Genomic DNA, 17,970 nt, shown 5'->3' with positions numbered 1-17,970 from the left:
CTGCACCTCGGCTCACTGCACCTCGGCTCACCGCACCACCTCCCAGGTTCACGCCATTCTCCTGCCTCAGCCTCCTGCATAGCTGGGACTACAGGCACCTGCCACCACGCCCGGCTAATTTTTTTTTTTTTTTGTATTTTTAGTAGAGACAGGGTTTCACTGTGTTAGCCAGGATGATCTCGATCCCCTGACCTTGTGATCCACCTGCCTCAGCCTCCCAAAGTGCTGGGATTACAGGCATGAGCCAGTGCGCCTGGCCAGTTTTTCCTTTTTAAAAATAGTTATAATGAGATATACGCAAATGTGAAATGGTACAGCCACTTTGGAAAACATTAGCAGTTTACTATAAAATTAAACAGACACTTAACATATGACCCACCAATCCCACTTCTAGCTGTTTATCCCAAAGAAATGAAAACATGCCCACACAAAAGCCATGTACGTGAATATTCAGAGCAAAAAAATGAAAACAACTCGAATGTTTATGAACTCATGAATGGAAAAACAAATTGTGGTATATTCATGTGATGTCGTACTACTCAGCAATTAAAAGGAACAAAGCATAAATACACATAATGACATCGATGACTCAAAAGCTGTGTGCAGTGGCTGGGTGTGGTGGCACTCACCTATATTCCCAGCTACTCAGGAGGCTGAGGCACGAGAATCATTTGAACCCAGGAGGAAGAGGTTGCAGTGAGCCAAGATCGTGCCATTGTACTCCAGCTTGAGCAACACAGTGAGACTGTATCTTAAAAACAAAAAACAAAAAACAAAACAAAAAAAACTATGTGCAATGGAACTCAAACACAAAAGTCTATGTATGTATGATTCCATCTATACCTAGAAAAGCCAAAACTCGGGGTCACTTCCAAGGTGGCCAAATAGGAACAGCTCTGGTCTGCAGCTCCCAGCGAGATCGACACAGAAGATGGGTGATTTCTGCATTTCCAGCTGAGGTACCGACTCACTGGGACTGGTTGGACAGTGGGTGCAGCCCACGGAAGGTGAGCTGAAGCAGGGTGGGGCGTCACCTCACCTGGGAAGCACAAGGGGTTGGGGGATTTCCCTTTCCTAGTCAAGGGAAGCCATAACAGACTGTACCTGGAGAAACGGTACACCCCTGACCACATACTGCACTTTATCTGCAGTCTTAGCAACGAGAAGATACCCTCCCATGCCTGGCTCGGCAGTACCATGACCACGGAGCCTTCCTCACTGCTAGCGCTGCAGTCTGAGATCAACCTGTGACACTGCAGCTTGATGCGGGGAGGGGCATATGACATTGCTGAATCTTGAGTAGCTCACAGCGTAAACAAAGAGGCTGGGAAGCACGAACTGGGCGGAGCCCACCACAGCTCAGCAAGGCCTACCGCCTCTATAGATTCCACCTCTGGGGCAGGGCATAGTAGAACAAAAGGGAGCAGACAGCTTCTGCAGACTTAAAAGTCCCTGTCTGACAGCTCTGAAGAGAGCAGTGGATCTCTCAGCATGGTGTCCGAGCTCTGAGAACAGACACACTGCCTCCTTAAGCGGGTCCCTGACCCCCATGTAGTCTGACTGGGAAACACCTACCAGTAGGGGCCGACAGACATCTCAAACAGGTGGGTTCCCTTCTGGGAAGAACCTTCCAGAGGAAGGTTCAGGCAGCAATATTTGCTGTTCTGCAGCCTCCACTGGTGATAACCAGGCAAATAGGGTCTGGAATGGACCTCCAGCAAATTCCAGCAGACCTGCAGCTCAGAGGTCTGACTGTTAGAAGGAAAACTAACAAACAGAAAGGAATAGCATCAACATCAACAAAAAGGGCATCCACACCAAAACCCCACCTGTAGGTCACCAACCTCAAAGACCAAAGGTAGATAAAATCGCAAAGATGGGGAGAAACTAGAGCAGAAAAGCTGAAAATTCCAAAAAACAGAACACCTCTTCTCCTCCAAAAGATCACAGCTCCTCGCCAGCAAGAGAACAAAACTGGACAGAGAATGAGTTTGACGAGTTGACAGAAGTAAGCTTCAGAACGTTGGTAATAAAAAACTTCTCCTAGCTAAAGGAGCATATTCTAACCCATTGCAAGGAAGCTAAAAACCTTGAAAAAATGTTACATGAATGACGAACTGGAATAAACAGTGTAGAGAAGACCTTAATGACCTGATGGAGCTGAAAACCGTGGCACAAGAACTTCGTGACGCATGCACAAGCTTCAATAGTCGATTCGATCAAGTGGAAGAAAGAATATCAGTGATTGAAGATCAAATTAATGAAATAAAGTGAGAAGACAAGATCAGAGAAAAAAAGAGTAAAAAGAAATAAAGCCTCCAAGAAATATGGGACTATGTGAAAAGACCAAATCTACATCTAATTGGTGTACTAGAAAGTGATGGGGAGAATGGAAACAAGTTAGAAAACACTCTTCAGGATATTATCCAGGAGAACATCCCTAAGCTAGCAAGGCAGGCCAACATTCAAATTCAGGAAATACAGAGAACACCACAAAGATACTCCTCGAGAAGAGCAACCCCAACACACATAATTGTCAGATTCACCAAGGTTGAAAGGCAGGAAAAAATTTTAAGGGTGGCCAGAGAGAAAGGTCGGGTTATCCACAAAGGGAAGCCCATCAGACTAACAGCAGATCTCTCGGCAGAAACCCTACAAGCCAGAAAAGAGTGGGGGCCAATATTCGACATTCTTAAAGAAAAGAATTTTCAACTCTGAATCACATATCCAGCTAAACTAAGCTTCATAAGTGAAGGACAAATAAAATCCTTTACAGAAAAGCAAATGCTGAGAGATTTTGTCACCACCAGGCCTGCCCTACAAGAGCTGCTGAAGGAAGCACTAAACATGGAAGGGAGCAACCGGTACCAGCCACTGCAAAAATATGCCAAATGGTAAACAGCATTGACGCTGTGAAGAAATACCTCAATTAATGGGCAAAATAACCAGCTAAAATCATAATGACAGGATCAAATTCAAACATAACTATATTAACCTTAAATGTAAATGGGCTAAATGCCCCAATTAAAAGACACAGACTGGCAAATTGGATAAAGAGTCAAGACCCATCAGTATGCTATATTCAGGACACCCATCTCACATGCAAAGATGCACATAGGCTCAAAATAAAGGGATGGAGGAATATCTACCAAGCAAATGGATGGTAAAAAAAAAAAAAAAAAAAAAAAACAGGGGTTGCAATCCTAGTCTCTGATAAAACAGACTTTAAACCAACAAAGATCAAAAGAGACAAAGAAGGCCACTACATAATGGTAAAGGGATCAATTCACCAGGAAGAGCTAACTATCCTAAATATATATGCACCCAATACAGGAGCACCCAGATTCATAAAGCAAGTCCGTAGAGACCTACAAAGAGACTTAAACTCCCACACAATAATAATGGGATACTTTAACACCCCATTGTCAATATTAGACAGATCAATGAGGCAGAAGGTTAACAAGGATATCCAGGACTTGAGCTCAGCTCTGAACCAAGTGGACCTAATAGACATCTATCTACAGAACTCTCCACCCCAAATCAACAGAATATACATTCTTCTCAGCACCACATTGCACTTATTCTAAAACTGACCACATAATTGGTAGTAAAATACTCCTCAGCAAATGGAAAAGAACAAAAATCACAATAAACTGTCTCTCAGACTATGGTGCAATCAAATTAGAACTCAGGATTAGTAAACTCACTCAAAACCGCTCAACTACATGGAAACTGAACAAGCTGCTCCTGAATGACTACTGGGTACATAAAGAAATTAAGGCAGAAATAAAGATATTCTTTGAAACCAATGAGAACAAAGACACAACGAATCAGAATCTCTGGGAAACACTTAAAGCAGTGTGTAGAGGGAAATTTATAGCACTAAATGCCCACAAGAGAAAGCAGGAAAGATCTAAAATTGACACCCTAACATCACAACTGAAATAATTAGAGAATCAAAAGCAAATAAATTCAAAGGTAGCAGAAGGCAAGAAATAACTAAGATCAGAGCAGAACTGAAGGGGATAGAGACACAATCCCCTTTTGTCAGAGACACAATCCCCTTTTGTCAGAGACAAAAATCAATGAATCCAGGAGCAGGTTTTTTGAAAAGATCAACAAAATAGACCACTAGCAAGACTAATAAAGAAGAAATGAGAGAAGAATCAAATAGATGCAATAAAAAAATGATAAAGGGGATATCACCACCGCTCCCACAGAAATACAAACTACCATCAGAGAATACTATAAACACTTCTATGCAAATAAACTAGAAAATCTAGAAGAAATGGATAAATTCCTGGACACATGCACCCTCCCAAGACTAAACTAGGAAAAAGTGGAATCCCTGAATAGACCAAAAACAAGTTCTGAAATTGAGGCAATAATTAATAGCATACCAACCAAAAAAAAAAGCCCAGGACCAGAAAGATTCACAGCCAAATTCTACCAGAGGTACAAAGAGGAGCTGGTACCATTCCTTCTGAAACTATCTCAATCAATAGAAAAAAAGGGAATCCTCCCTAACTCATTTTATGAGGCTAGCCTCATCCTGATACCAAAGCATGGTAGAGACACAACAAAAAAAGAGAATTTTAGGCCAATATCTCTGATGAACATTGATGCAAAAATCCTCAATAAAGTGCTGGCAAACCAAATCCAGCAACGTATCCTAAAATAATAAGAGCTATTTAGGAGAAATCCACAGCAATATCACACTGAATGGGCAAAAACTGGAAGTGTTCCCTTAGAAAACCGGCACAAGACAAGGATGCCCTTTCTCACCCCTCCTATTCAACATAGTGTTGGAAATTCTGGCTAGGGCAATCAGGTAAGAGAAAGAAATAAAGGGTATTCAATGAGGAAAAGAGGATGTCAAATTGTCTCTGTTTGCAGATGACATGATTGTATATTTAGAAAATCCCATTGTCTCAGCCCAACATCTCCTTAAGCTGAGAATCAACTTCAGCAAAGTCTCAGGATACAAAATCAATGTGCAAAAATCACAAGCATTCTGATACACCAATAATAGACAAACAGAGAGCCAAATCATGAGTGAACTCTCATTCACAATTACTACAAAGAGAATAAAATACCTAGGAATCCAACTTACAAGGGATGTGAAGGACCTCTTCAAGGAGAGCTATAAACCACTGCTCAATGAAATAAAAGAGGACACAAACAATGGAAGAACATTCCATGCTCATGGATAGGAAGAATCAATATAATGAAAATGGCCATACTACCCAAGGGAATTTATAGATTCAATGCCATCCCCATCAAGCTTCCACTGACTTTCTTCACAGAATTGGAAAAAACGACTTTAAGGTTCATATGGAACCCAAAAAGAATCTGCGCAGCCAAGACAATCCTAAGCCAAAAGAACAAAGCTGGAGGTATCACATTACCTGACTTCAAACTATAGCACAAGACTACAGTAACGAAAACAGCATGGTACTGGTAACAAAATAGATACATAGACCAATGGAACAGAACAGAGGCCTCAGAAATAACACCACACATCTACAACCATCTGGTGTTTGACAAACCTGACAAAAACAAGAAATGGGGAAAGGATTCCCTATTTAATAAATGGTGCTGGGAAAACTGGCTAGCCATATGTAGAAAGCTGAAAGTGGATCCCTTCCTTACACCATATACAAAAATTAACTCAAGATGGATTAAAGACTTAAATGTAAGACCTAACACCATAAAAACCCTAGAAGAAAACCTAGGCAATACCATTCAGGACATAGGCATGGGCAAGAACTTCATGACTAAACACCAAAAGCAGTGGCAACAAAAGCCAAAATAGACAAATGGGATCTAATTAAACTGAAGAGCTTCTGCACAGCAAAAGAAACTACCATCAGAGTGAACAGGCAACCTACAGAATAAGAGAAAATCTTTGCAATCTACCCATCTGACAAAGGGCTGATATCCAGGCTCTACAAAGAACTTAAACAAATTTACAAGAAAAAAACAACCCCATCAAAAAGTGGGCAACGGATATGAACAGACACTTCTCAAAAGAAGACATTTATGCAGCCAACAGACACATGAGAAAATGCTCATCATCACTGGTCATCAGAGAAATGCAAATCAAAACCACAATGAGATACCATCTCACACCAGTTAGAATGGCAATCATTAAAAAGTCAGGAAACAACAGGTGCTGGAGAGGATGTGGAGAAACAGGAATGCCTTTACACTGTTGGTGGGAGTGTAAATTAGTTCAACCATTGTGGAAGACAGTGTGGTGATTCCTCAAGGATCTGGAACTAGAAATACCATTAGACCCAGCGATCCCATTACTGGGTATATACCCAAAGGATTATAAATCATGCTTCTATAAAGACACATGCACACGTATGTTTAATGCAGCACTATTCACAAGAGCAAAGACTTGGAACCAACCCAAATGTCCATCAATGACAGACTGGATTAAGAAAATGTGGCATATATACACCATAGAATACTATGCAGCCATAAAAAACGATGAGTTCATGTCCTTTCTAGGGACATGGATGAAACTGTGAACCATCATTCTCAGCAAAATATCACAAGGACAGAAAACCAAACACCGCATGTTGTCACTCATAGGTGGGAGTTGAACAATGAGAACACATGGACCCTGGGTGGGGAACATCACACACTGGGGCCTATCAGGGGGTTGGGGGCTGGGGGAGGGAAAGCATTAGGAGAAATACCTAATGTAAATGACTAGCTGATGAGTGCAACAAACCAACATGGCACATGTATGCCTATGTAACAAACCTGCACATTGTGCACATGTACCCTATAACTTAAAGTATAATAAAAAAAAAAAAAAAGAAAAAAGAAAAGGAAAGCCAAAACTACAAGCAGATCAATGGTTCCCTGAGAATGGAGGAGGAAATATTCTGCAAAAGGGCATGAGGAAACTTTTCAGGGTGATAGAAAAATTCTTGATCGTGCTGGTTGTAGAATTTACCAAAATTCGTCAAACTGTACACCTAGAGTTGGTGAATATGTAAATTATACCTTGATGAAACAAAAACTTCAGTTAAAAAATTAAGAATTAAAATTAAAAATGGTTACAAGATTGCTGACAGTCGGCGAAGTTTATTATGTTCTACTTATTCTTCTAAGTACGTTACAAGTATGAAGTCATTTTTATCTTCACAATGACCTGTGTGGTAATCACTTTTATCATTTGCATTTTACAGAAGTAAGAGACTGACGCCTTGAGAGGTTAAGTAATTAGCCCAGAATCATACAACATTAATGCAGCCTGGATCCCAACTGAGGTCATTTGGCTCTGTGGCTCACACAGTTTAGCTCCACTGCCCACACAATTGGTTGCCATTACCCACACTGTCAGCCACTGCCATGTGTGGACCACTGTTTAGTCAGCCTTTCTAATTTTTCCTTCTTTGCTATTTCAATGCTTAATGAACGTCTTTGTACGTGTACATTTATTTACTTGTGGTTTCCTTTCTGAGTAGTTATTTCCTAGAAGTGGGATTGCTGGGTCAAAGAATAGGTGTATTTAAAATTTCAATTAAATTTCCTTTTTGAGTATTTCCTAGGTGTCAGACCTATATTCCTATTTACCATCATATTTAACTTTCATGGCTCCTCAAATATTATCCTAGAAATTAGTTTAACTAAAATTCCTACACATTTATATAAAGGAGATAATCCCGTGAGCATATGTATTGTGATCGTCCTCATAACCTGTAGAGGTTAAGGACCTGTCTTGAATCCCACAGCTAATCGGTACATAAAATCCCAACTCAGCCTGACTCCACGTCCTGTGTGAATTCTACCGCATGCTAGCTATTAGTTCTGTAATCACCACGGGTTTTCTTTTGTGTGTTTTATTCTTGGGAGCCAGAATTAAGACTAAACCACCAAGAAAGTCACCGCCATAGGGCTCTGTCTCATCAAAAGAGGGATTTATGCTCCTAGGGAAAACAAAACAAAACAAAACAAAACAAAACAAAACAAAACAAAACCAAACCCGAGTATTCCTTGGAGCTCAGTGTTACTAGAATGTGTTGATCCTGAAAAATGATTTCCATAATTCTAATTATTTCTCATGTTTTAGCATGCTTTACATCAAAGAATACAATCTATATCTTCTCATCAAGCATTTGCTTGGTGAATATTCTAAAAAAGGAATCATAGCCTTACTTAAATATAAACACAGTCTGGTCATGCAATAATAGAATAGACAAATGTGTAGATTTCCTAGGTATCTTCTTTCTTTCCTCCATTTTTTTGACATGCTATTGCTCTGCTACTTACTAATGGTTAACCTTGAGCAAGATACTTTATCATTTTAAGCCAAATTTCCTCATCTGGAAAATTGGGATAATAAAAGTGTCCTATTCTGTGGAATTATTTTTAAAATTAAACCAAATAGTTCATGCATGGCGTTTGATACTATACCTGGCACACAGGAGGCCTGGATACACATTAGCAGGTAGTGTTGGCAGTGGCACAAGCCACCTTCAAGACTGGACATGTAGCTAGTGATCAAGCTGGACCCAAGGTGTGGTCCATATGAAGATTTCCAAAAGAGAGCATGGAGCAAGCTTCCAGTGAGTAAAAGAAAGTTATTCAGCAGTTGGAGTGGATGGAGTGAGAAGAGTTTAAGATTAAATAAAACTGACCCCTAAGCAGGACACCACTGGCCATCCCCTTCTAAGTTGGCCTCCATTGTAAAAACCCCTCCATGTCTCCCATGGCTTCTCTGATCACTCCTTGTTTTCCTAGGCTGATTCCTTTACCCCTCCTGCCTTCAAGGTTCTATCTTCAACTTTTTCCATTTCTCATCTACTGTTTATCCCTGAAGATTTATGCTTAAGTAGTTACAGAAAGTCGTAGAATAATTAAGAATATATGAGAAAAGAAATTTTATGTTTTGGTGGGGAAGATGGTTGAGGGTCTTGGCTACCTTTTAGATGGGGGTAGGGCAGGAAGGAATTAAGTCGAAAATATCAACTTTGGATTCGATTTTCACCACTGGCTTTTTGAGTTCTTGGTTAATTGAATCTTTTTGCCAAAATGATAAAAATGCTCCCCTTTTGCATTTGGTATGAGTTGATATGATTTCATCAGACTCTGTGAAGTGGGTTGAGGAGTGTATGACCCACATATCTATCTAGGTATGTGTGGGAGCCGTTTTGCCAGATGTGAAAGTCAAATTAGTCAGTGTTGTTGCTTGCTGCAGCTGGGGTAAAAGTTTATCTGGAAGAGTCTGAATCGCTTTGCTAAAACGAGACCTTAGGCTTGATCCATAATTTCCATATTCTGCGTCTGCCAATAATTAAGAGTTGGCTCTATACCAATAATATGGGAGCCTCAGAATTAATATGTAGGAGTTTGGGTGAATAACATTTTGATGCTTAATATTACCTGGAGATAACTGTTGGGTCACTAAGGATAACTAGGATATTTCATGAAAAGAATTCCTTTGCTGATATATTGGTTCCTGTTTGATTGTATTTTGTGCAGTGATCCAATGAAAATAATAATTTTTACTCTGCTGGTTTATTTGTGGGTTGGACCCAGAAGCTAAGGAACTCAATACTGAGTCCTTTTTCAAAAGGACTAGGAAAAAATCATTTAATGAAAGCTCATCCTCCCCGCCTGCCTCAAGGTCAGAGTGAAGAATGTTAGTGACCATCTGCGGTTTGGCCTGCCCATTGCCCTTCTGCACACAGAATCCCCCCGCCCTCTCTCTCTCTCTTTCCGTCTTGAAAATCACACCTCTTTGACATTGATATTATGGTTTGGATGGAGATGGCCCTACCCCTTGCCTTTGGTGGGGACTCAGCACCAATCAATGAGAACACCACATCACCACATACCTCTGGCCACAGTAACGAATTCTGGGGTGAGCCCATGACCAATGCCAGATCAAACAGAGACAGTCCTGGGGATTTTGCTCAAATTCTTCTGAGAGATCATTTCTTTCTGTTGGCATTGATAACCTGGCAGAATGTATATCTAGGGCTGCTGAAGACCACCTTGCCACCACAAGATAGCCTGCCAGAGAACAAAGCCAATGTATAGGAAAAAAGAGCCAGGAGATGGATACTAACCCCTGGCGACTCCATATGAATATCCGGTTGCAGCCACACCTGAAGCTAAATTGGATGTCTCTTATATGAATACAATGCCTCATTTTTTTTTGTTCAAGCCAGTTTGAGCTTTTTAATCTCCAGTAATCTAAAATCTAAGTATTCTATACCCAGATGTGTCAGTCCATTCTTGCACTGCTTTAAAGAAATATCTGAGTTTGGGTCACTTATAAAGAAAAGAGGTTTAATTAGCTCATGGTTCTGCAGGGCGCAGAGGAAGTGTGGTGCCAGTGTCTGCTTCCAGTGAGGCTCAGGAAGCTTAGAATCATGGTGGAAGGCAAAGGGGAAGTCAGTGCATTGCATGGCAAGAGACAGAGCAAGAGAGAGAGAGAAGGGGGAGGTCCTAGACCCTTTTAAACAACCAGATCTTGTGTGAGCTAACCAAGTGAGAACTCACTTATCACCAAAGAGACGGAGCTAAACCATTCATGAGGAATCCACCCTCATGATCCAATCACCTCCCACCAGGCCCCACCTCTACCACTGGGAATCCCATTTCAACATGAGATTTGGAGGGGACAAAATTCAAACCATATCACCAGGAAAGAAGAATCTATCAATACACAAATTTATAGCCTAGATAAATAAAATGTTATAATATTTCATTAATTTTCATGGTGTTGAAGAAAGAAAAATATCTCAGTGATGAGACTGTTTCCTTACTGGCTGGTTTCCAAGGTATGTTAGGAAGAGAAATCATATTATTCCTTCTCTTCCTTCCCAAATGTATTTATGACAACCACATAGTGTTTAGATAGCCAATGTTTCTGTGCAAATCCTCTACCTGTCCAACCTTATTATGTTCAGCTGTATCTCTGTTTTGTGAAGACTAGGTGTCCCTTCTGCCTCTTTTGTCTTCACACTACACATCCCGTTTCTTATCTGCAGCTCTATGGATGCCAAATTTCTCTTTTCAGAAACTAAAACATGAATCACACTGACTTTGCAAACTGTCTTTACCCTCCAGGGACCCTCTAGGTCCTGAGGGAAAGAGAAAACTTGAAAGGCTTAGATATGCAGTGGTAATCAACACAGAGAGAAATGAGATTGCTGAGACCGTGAATGGCAAACAGAGGTTGACTTTAGCCCTGTGTCAGACAGATTATTTTCCCCAGTGAGCAGAGCTAGTGCCACACATCTGTCACCGGGAGCCATATCATAGACCTTGATGTGGGATTGTAAAATCTACAGTTGGTCTAAAGCCAGAAGGGCATTGAAATTGGAATTCCCCAACTCCAGATGTCTAGCTTTACACTGTAGGAAACCCCTGCTCAACTGGCATAAATTGATTTCAAAATCTGTACCAGTTTGCAATGGTCAGAGGAGATGCAGCACTGGTCTGAACATTTCTAGGATAGGGAGCAAAAACTCAAATGCCTGTGGGGGCCACTGACACAGTTGGGTGAAGTGGACTGGTTGGGACCTGAGTGCCTGCATGCCAGAAATGAGCTGGCACTGTCCAGCCCCAGCTGAGGCAATTGTGCCTGCTGGTGCAGCATGGGCCCTGTGCTGCCAGATCTTCAGCGCTTTGCAGAAAGGCTGGAAGCCCAGGAATAGGAGTCATCAGTTTGCAACCTCTGATTTGATATAGCATCATGATTGTGCCAGGTGACTAAATATGGGGTTGTATTTAGACCTAATTTAGTTCACTTTGAACAGAACCCAGAGTGTTTTGGTTTAGAGCACAGACTTTGGTGTCAGGTTTACCTGAATTTGTAGCCTGGCTTTGCCACTTACTAATGTCATGACTTTGGCCAAGAAACTTAATGTCTCTGAGTTGCAGTGTTCACATCTGTAAAATGGAGCTGCAATTTCCATGTCTGCCTCTTGGGTGGGCGGGAGTGATAGAATTTGAGATAAAATGACGTAATGCTCTCAAAGCTGTTACACAGTGGCTGTACAAAAGGTAATGCTTTAAAAAATGCTGGTAATTCTATGATTGAAATCACAGAAATTTATGTAAGGTATTATTTTCATATTCTCCAGAAACAAAGTCAGAGAGACAATATTATGCGGTGGTTAAGAGCACTCATCCTGGAGTCAAATCCTGCTTGAGATAACCTGTATAACTCAGTTAACATTCTTACAACATTTAGAACAGAGCCTGGCACACAGTAAGGACTATGGGGGTGGGTGGAAGGTTATGATACTATTATTGCAATATGTTTTAATAGCTCTTATGACTTTGTCACTTGAGTAAGACTGTATCTAGTAGGGCATGGTGGCTCAAGCTGGTAATCTCAACACTTTGGGAGGCTGAGGTGGGAGGATCACCTGAGGCCAGGAATTCAAGAATAGCTTGGGCAACATAGTGAGCAAGACCCTATCTCTACAAAAAATTAAAACAACAACAATAACTGTATCCACACCCCGGAACTTGTGGTTTACGTTATCTTAACGTTAATAATATCTGATGCAATTAATTTTTACCTTATAAAGTTGGAAACACTTACCTACTATTTTAAGGGCTGCTTTAAATCCACAGTGAAAGGTCTAAAAAAATGTAGGATTAAAAAAAGAGAGAGATTGCAATTATGTCACATTCTTTAAAAACAGGCTATACAAAACTGACCTAAAAGAGAATTGGGTTTACTAGAAAAAAAACAACAATTTCTTGAGAGCCTCTTTTGTGCAATGCACATTCCTAGACCAAGAAACAAAGCTAAAATAATAAATGGCAAAAGTAAGCCCTCTAACTAAGCCAACGTCCATATTCACACATGCTGCCATGTGGTTGGCCTGCAGACACTTTGAGGGTTTTTTTTTTTTTTTTCCTACTCTCAGAGGTTACCCGGTAGTGCTGGGGTGTGCGGGAAATGGAGATCGGCATTGGGTTCAAAAGTGATGCAGGTAAGACATGGAGCCCCAGGGCGGGCCCCAGATATGACACAGATGCCTACCTGGGTCAAGGACGCAGTGGGGGCAGGAAAGGCGGTGGGAGACGGGCGCACTAGCTGGTACTTCTCCCTAAACGAGGGAGTAGTGAATCTTCAGAAGAATGCAGTCTCAACTTCGTGGGCGTCTGAGAGAAAGCGAGACTGATATCTTCTGTCCCAGTTGGAAGGTGGTGTATACGCCTAACTTCAGGAGCGAGCGCGGACCACAGAGCAGATGGAGGCGGAGTGAAAGGGTGGCCCCGCCGGCGTGAGGTGGGGAGCCGGGACCCATCCCGAGCCGGGATGCAGGAGCGGAGGATCCCAGGCTGCAGGCTCGCTGGGCGTGCAGGAGCCGGGCGGGAGAGGCGCGGGTCCGGGACTGCCGTGGGACGCTCCGCTGAGGCAAGAGGAGCCCGGGTACGCTGCGCCTGGGACCCCTCTGTCGAGGCCTCCGGAGTGTCACAGCCGCCTGCAGCCCTGACGGCCCAGGGAAGGAGACCGTCACCTGGCCGCGCTACCCAACTCCAAACCCAGGGCCATCCCAGACTGCCTGCTCTAGGAAGGAAGGGAGCTAACTGAAATTAGATTTTATTAACCAAAAAGTAATGGGAAGTTACAGAATCATTCTGAGAAGTGATTAAGTGGAGACTCTTTCCGGCTGGAAAGGTGGAGGGAGGCTGTCTACAAAGCAATTGGTAGCAGTTATTTGAAGAACAAACGTTTCATGCATACGCACTACGGATCCACTGAGATCCTTCACTCAACCATTACCCATGCACAACGTGTGAAATCTAAGGGTTGCTTTTGCGACTCACTTAGGCAGAGTTCTTGGTAGTGTCACGACAGCCGGACTCGGTTGTTGGGTTAGCTCAGATGAGTAGAGTCGTTTAATCTCTTTGAGACAGTTTCTTCCTCTTTAAAGTGAAGATGCTTATAGGAGAGTACACAGAAAAAAAAAATAGAAGAAGAAAAGAAAAAAAAAATAAAGTAAGGATGACAGTAACCCCTTAGCTACCTCCCAGAGTCTTAGAGGCAAATGAGGCAATTTCTTTTTTTTTTTTTTTTTTGAGACAGAGTCTCGCTCTGTCATCCAGGCTGGAGTGCAATGGTGTGATCTTGGCTCACTGCAATCTCTGCCTCCCAGGTTCAAGCGATTCTCCTGCCTCAACCTCCCAAATAGCTGGGATTACAGGCCTGTGCCATCATGCCCAGCTAATTTTTGTATTTTTAGTAGAGACCAAGTTTCTCCATATTGGCCAGGGTGGTCTCGAACTCCTGACCTCAGATGATCCGCCCGCCTCAGCCTCCCAAAGTGTTAGGATTACAGGTGTGAGCCACCTCACCCGGCCAAATGAGGCAATTTCTATGAGTGAGAGTTCTTTACGTATGATCAAATATGGTATAAACATTAGCAATTATTAAATGAATTTCAAATTTATTCCTCCACCTGCTCATAATTTATAGTATATCCAAAATAGAGAGTTGAATAATTATTTAGCACAATTTCATTAATAATGTATTGAATGATTCCTATTGCAAGGAGTTGTCTGATTTAATCAGTGTAGACAACTGATCTGAATAACATGAACCTCCTATCTAATTTTATCAATAGCTTTGAGAGGTTTGGGGATATATTACTGACACATCTTCAGTGGTTCACTTCATTTTCTTTGTGATTGCCTGTCAACCTTCCATTTTTTATGATGAAAAACCCATCTGTGTTATGATGAATTGGCTTTGTTTCCATGTTATGTCCTACACCTAATACATTATTATTTAGAGCTGTAATTAAACATTACTAAACAGTTTAATAGGGTGTTTCATAGTTCAAGGTAAGACTAACTTTATTCAGCAGGGAAAATCTGATTTTATTATTTACTTTATTTGAGGTCAGATTATTTTCAAATAGTTAAATAAAGTTAAATATATTCAATATGTACATAAACTTGAGAACTCTAAAGAGAAAATTCCTCCCCAAACAACTACATCATAGAGCTAGGAGGAGGAAAAAGCCCCAAGTTGTATTTCCAAAAAAACAAAAAAGAAATATTTAATTAGAGTAATTTATAGATTTAAAGAACTGACCCTATAGCTTGAGTTCTACATTATAGTTCATCACAATGAAATTCAAAGAACATTTTCTCTTTTACTGGAAATCTAATTGCATGCATGGTCTCTGCATAGTTGTAAAAGTGTAATCATATATTGCCTCATATTACTTGAATTTATTGCCTGTGTATTATTGTAACTAGAAAGACAGTCATAGAGGGGTGAGGTTGTGGGTCTTATTCTTGTACTTCTCCACCCAGTGCCTTTCACAGAACCGAGCCCAAAGTTGTTCATGATATATACTTTTGACTTGATGACTTGATTAATTGTTCCGTTGCTTTTATTGTAATGTAATTTGCTGCATTTGGGTCGGATACTGTTATCCCTAAGTTAGCTAAATACTCCACTGTGGAGTTGTACTTTTTGTGAATTTAAACTTCTTATACATTACCTTGGGCTGCCAGGCTTCTGTAACAATTTCCAGGGGGTTATCACTTGCCTTCTTTAATCTATGTGACAGTCAAAGAATAAAGTCTCTTCGAGATCATTCGGTGTGGCATTCATTGTGAGTGACTTTGAAGAAATAAAGCTGGACAAATGCCTTGCAATTATGTCTAGCCAATGTAACCACTGTTGTTTGTTTTGGGTTTTGGCTTGAGGCTTCTAGGAAGCTGTATCCTCCAAGGGAGCCATCTTTTGATGATATTTAGCCTCCGATTTCAATCTATGGAAAGGGAGAAAAGTAAGACTGATGCTTCTTTCATCAAGGATCACTTTGGTAACATCAAAAGATTAAAGGAAGTGTGTTTTTTTTTTTTTCTGGGCCTCTCACCTTCTTTTGTCCCTTCTTCTTCACTCTCCATAAAGCTTATCTTGGAAGCCAGCCACCATCTGCCATGTCATGGTAAGGTGTATGTAATGCGTGCTCTGATAGGTTTGTGTTTATAACACATATATATGGAGTTGTCACTGAGGCAGGAATTGCTTGCTATCAGGAGTACCATCCTGAATAGGATTACCAAAACTGGCCTGTGGTCAGATTGTCTTCCTGACATAACATTTCTCTCCCCCTTAATATCTATACCTTCATTTATGAGAGCCCCACTTTTTTTTTGGTTGCTGTTGTTGTTTGTTTTCTTTTCTAATGTCAGTCTTTGTGTGCATAAACTTGTATTTCATTCAGAGAAAAAAATCTCTTCTAATTTCAAGGGGATAGAGGTGAAAACAAAATGAAACGGAAAGCTGTTCAGATAACCCAGGAGGATTTTAAGACCCCTTTGTTATAACAATCCTTTTATGTTTGAAATATTTATTGGGCTTCTTCCTGGTCACGATTGGAAGGGAAACCTGAATTGGTGCCCTCTAAGCTGCTTGGGCGGACAGAAGAGTACATGTTTACAAGTCAAGATGGTGCTTGATCTTGGAACGACAGGAAATGATTTTGCAAATCCAGATAAACTATTTTATCCTAGAAAGCATATGTGCCAAACACAGTTTAAAGTAAACACACAAGGATCCTTGTGTTGTACCCCATGGGTAGAGTGTAGGGAGAAGCTAACACTTTTCCAGATTAAGAGCAATCTGGTGAAATAGTTGCCTCTAAGTGGCTCGTTTTGCCTGTGTGCCCTCTCACAGTGTAAACTTTTAGATTTCTGTAATGGAAGAGTGTACTAAGTTTGGCACTTGCTCCCTTTGGACAAGGTGGAGCTGATAATTTATTTCTCTTCCTCCATCCAAAATTATTTTTAAGTTATTTAAAGTTTATATAGATGAATATTATGGGGTAAGATTATTTTAAAGCTTATATAGATGAGAAATTGCCAAGAAAGTTTTGAAAAAGGATTAGGGAGAGGGATTTTTCCCCTTAGATTTTAAAGTGTGCTATAAAGCTAATAATAAAACAGTGTGGTATTCATATATACATCAGTGGAATACAACAGAGTCTGGAACAGATCTAGGTATATATGCTAACTTTATGTTGCTAAAAGGGGCATTACTGATAGAAAAAATTGTTTAATAAATGGTATCAGGATTGGGTCAGCTAATAGCTAGCATTTAGTTAGCACTCACTATATGCCAGGTACTATTCTAAGGGCTTTTCATGTATTAATTCAATCTTCATAGCAGCCCTTTGAGATAGATACTATTATTATTCCAATTCACAAATGAAAACACTAAAACACAGGGAGATTTAGTAACTGGTCCAAAGTCACACAGCTATTAAATAGTAGAGTTAGGATTTGAATCAGGCAATAAAATTAGGTCTTTACCTAGTTTATACGATATATAAACAAACTCTAGATGAATTAAAAATCTGCATGTATAAAATGATGTTTTTATAACATCATTACAATATTGGAAGATAATCCAGAGGAACATTTATATAACTTTGAAATCAAAGAAAATTCCTTAAGCAAGACAAGAACCCCAGAAAAAATGAAGGAAAATTATTGATCTGACAACATAAATATTCAAAACTTCTGTTGAGAAGATACCATAACAAAAATCAAAACTTCAGTGACCAAAAGGAAATACATTTGGAACTCATTTGTTAGAAGAAGGGTTTGTATCTGTAATGTACAAAAACATTTTATAAAATGATATAAAAATCAGTCCAATTTAAAAGTGGGCAAAACATATGAACTGGCAATTCATAGGGGATAAAATGCAAATGATTAAGAAATATGTAACAGTGGCAATATGTGCAGTGTTAATAGTGTGTAGAGGAACTTCCAATTTTCCTATTCAAGACTTACATCTAAGACCTCAAACTATGAGACTAATAAAAGAAAACACTGGGTAAAACTCTCCAGGACATTGGAATGGGCAAAGATTTCTTGAGCAATGCCCCATGGACACAGACAACCAAAGCAAAAATGAACAAATGGGATCACATCAAGTTAAAAAGCTTC

General features: G+C 40.4%; 1 annotated feature.

Annotated features, from left to right (window-relative positions):
* Positions 547 to 1,376: an enhancer, noted in NCBI's record as "NANOG-H3K27ac hESC enhancer chr4:56035898-56036727 (GRCh37/hg19 assembly coordinates)". NCBI's record gives its function as "activates a minimal SCP1, AML or CMV promoter by ChIP-STARR-seq in naive H9 embryonic stem cells {active_cell/tissue: H9 hESC(naive)}" and the evidence as "EXISTENCE:reporter gene assay evidence [ECO:0000049][PMID:30033119]".

The sequence above is a fragment of the Homo sapiens genome, chromosome 4 (genome assembly GCF_000001405.40).
Source record: "Homo sapiens chromosome 4, GRCh38.p14 Primary Assembly".
NCBI classification, from domain to species: domain Eukaryota; kingdom Metazoa; phylum Chordata; class Mammalia; order Primates; family Hominidae; genus Homo; species Homo sapiens.
The sequence above is the reverse complement of the archived record's forward strand: the minus strand, read 5'-3'. Positions and strand labels throughout refer to the sequence as shown.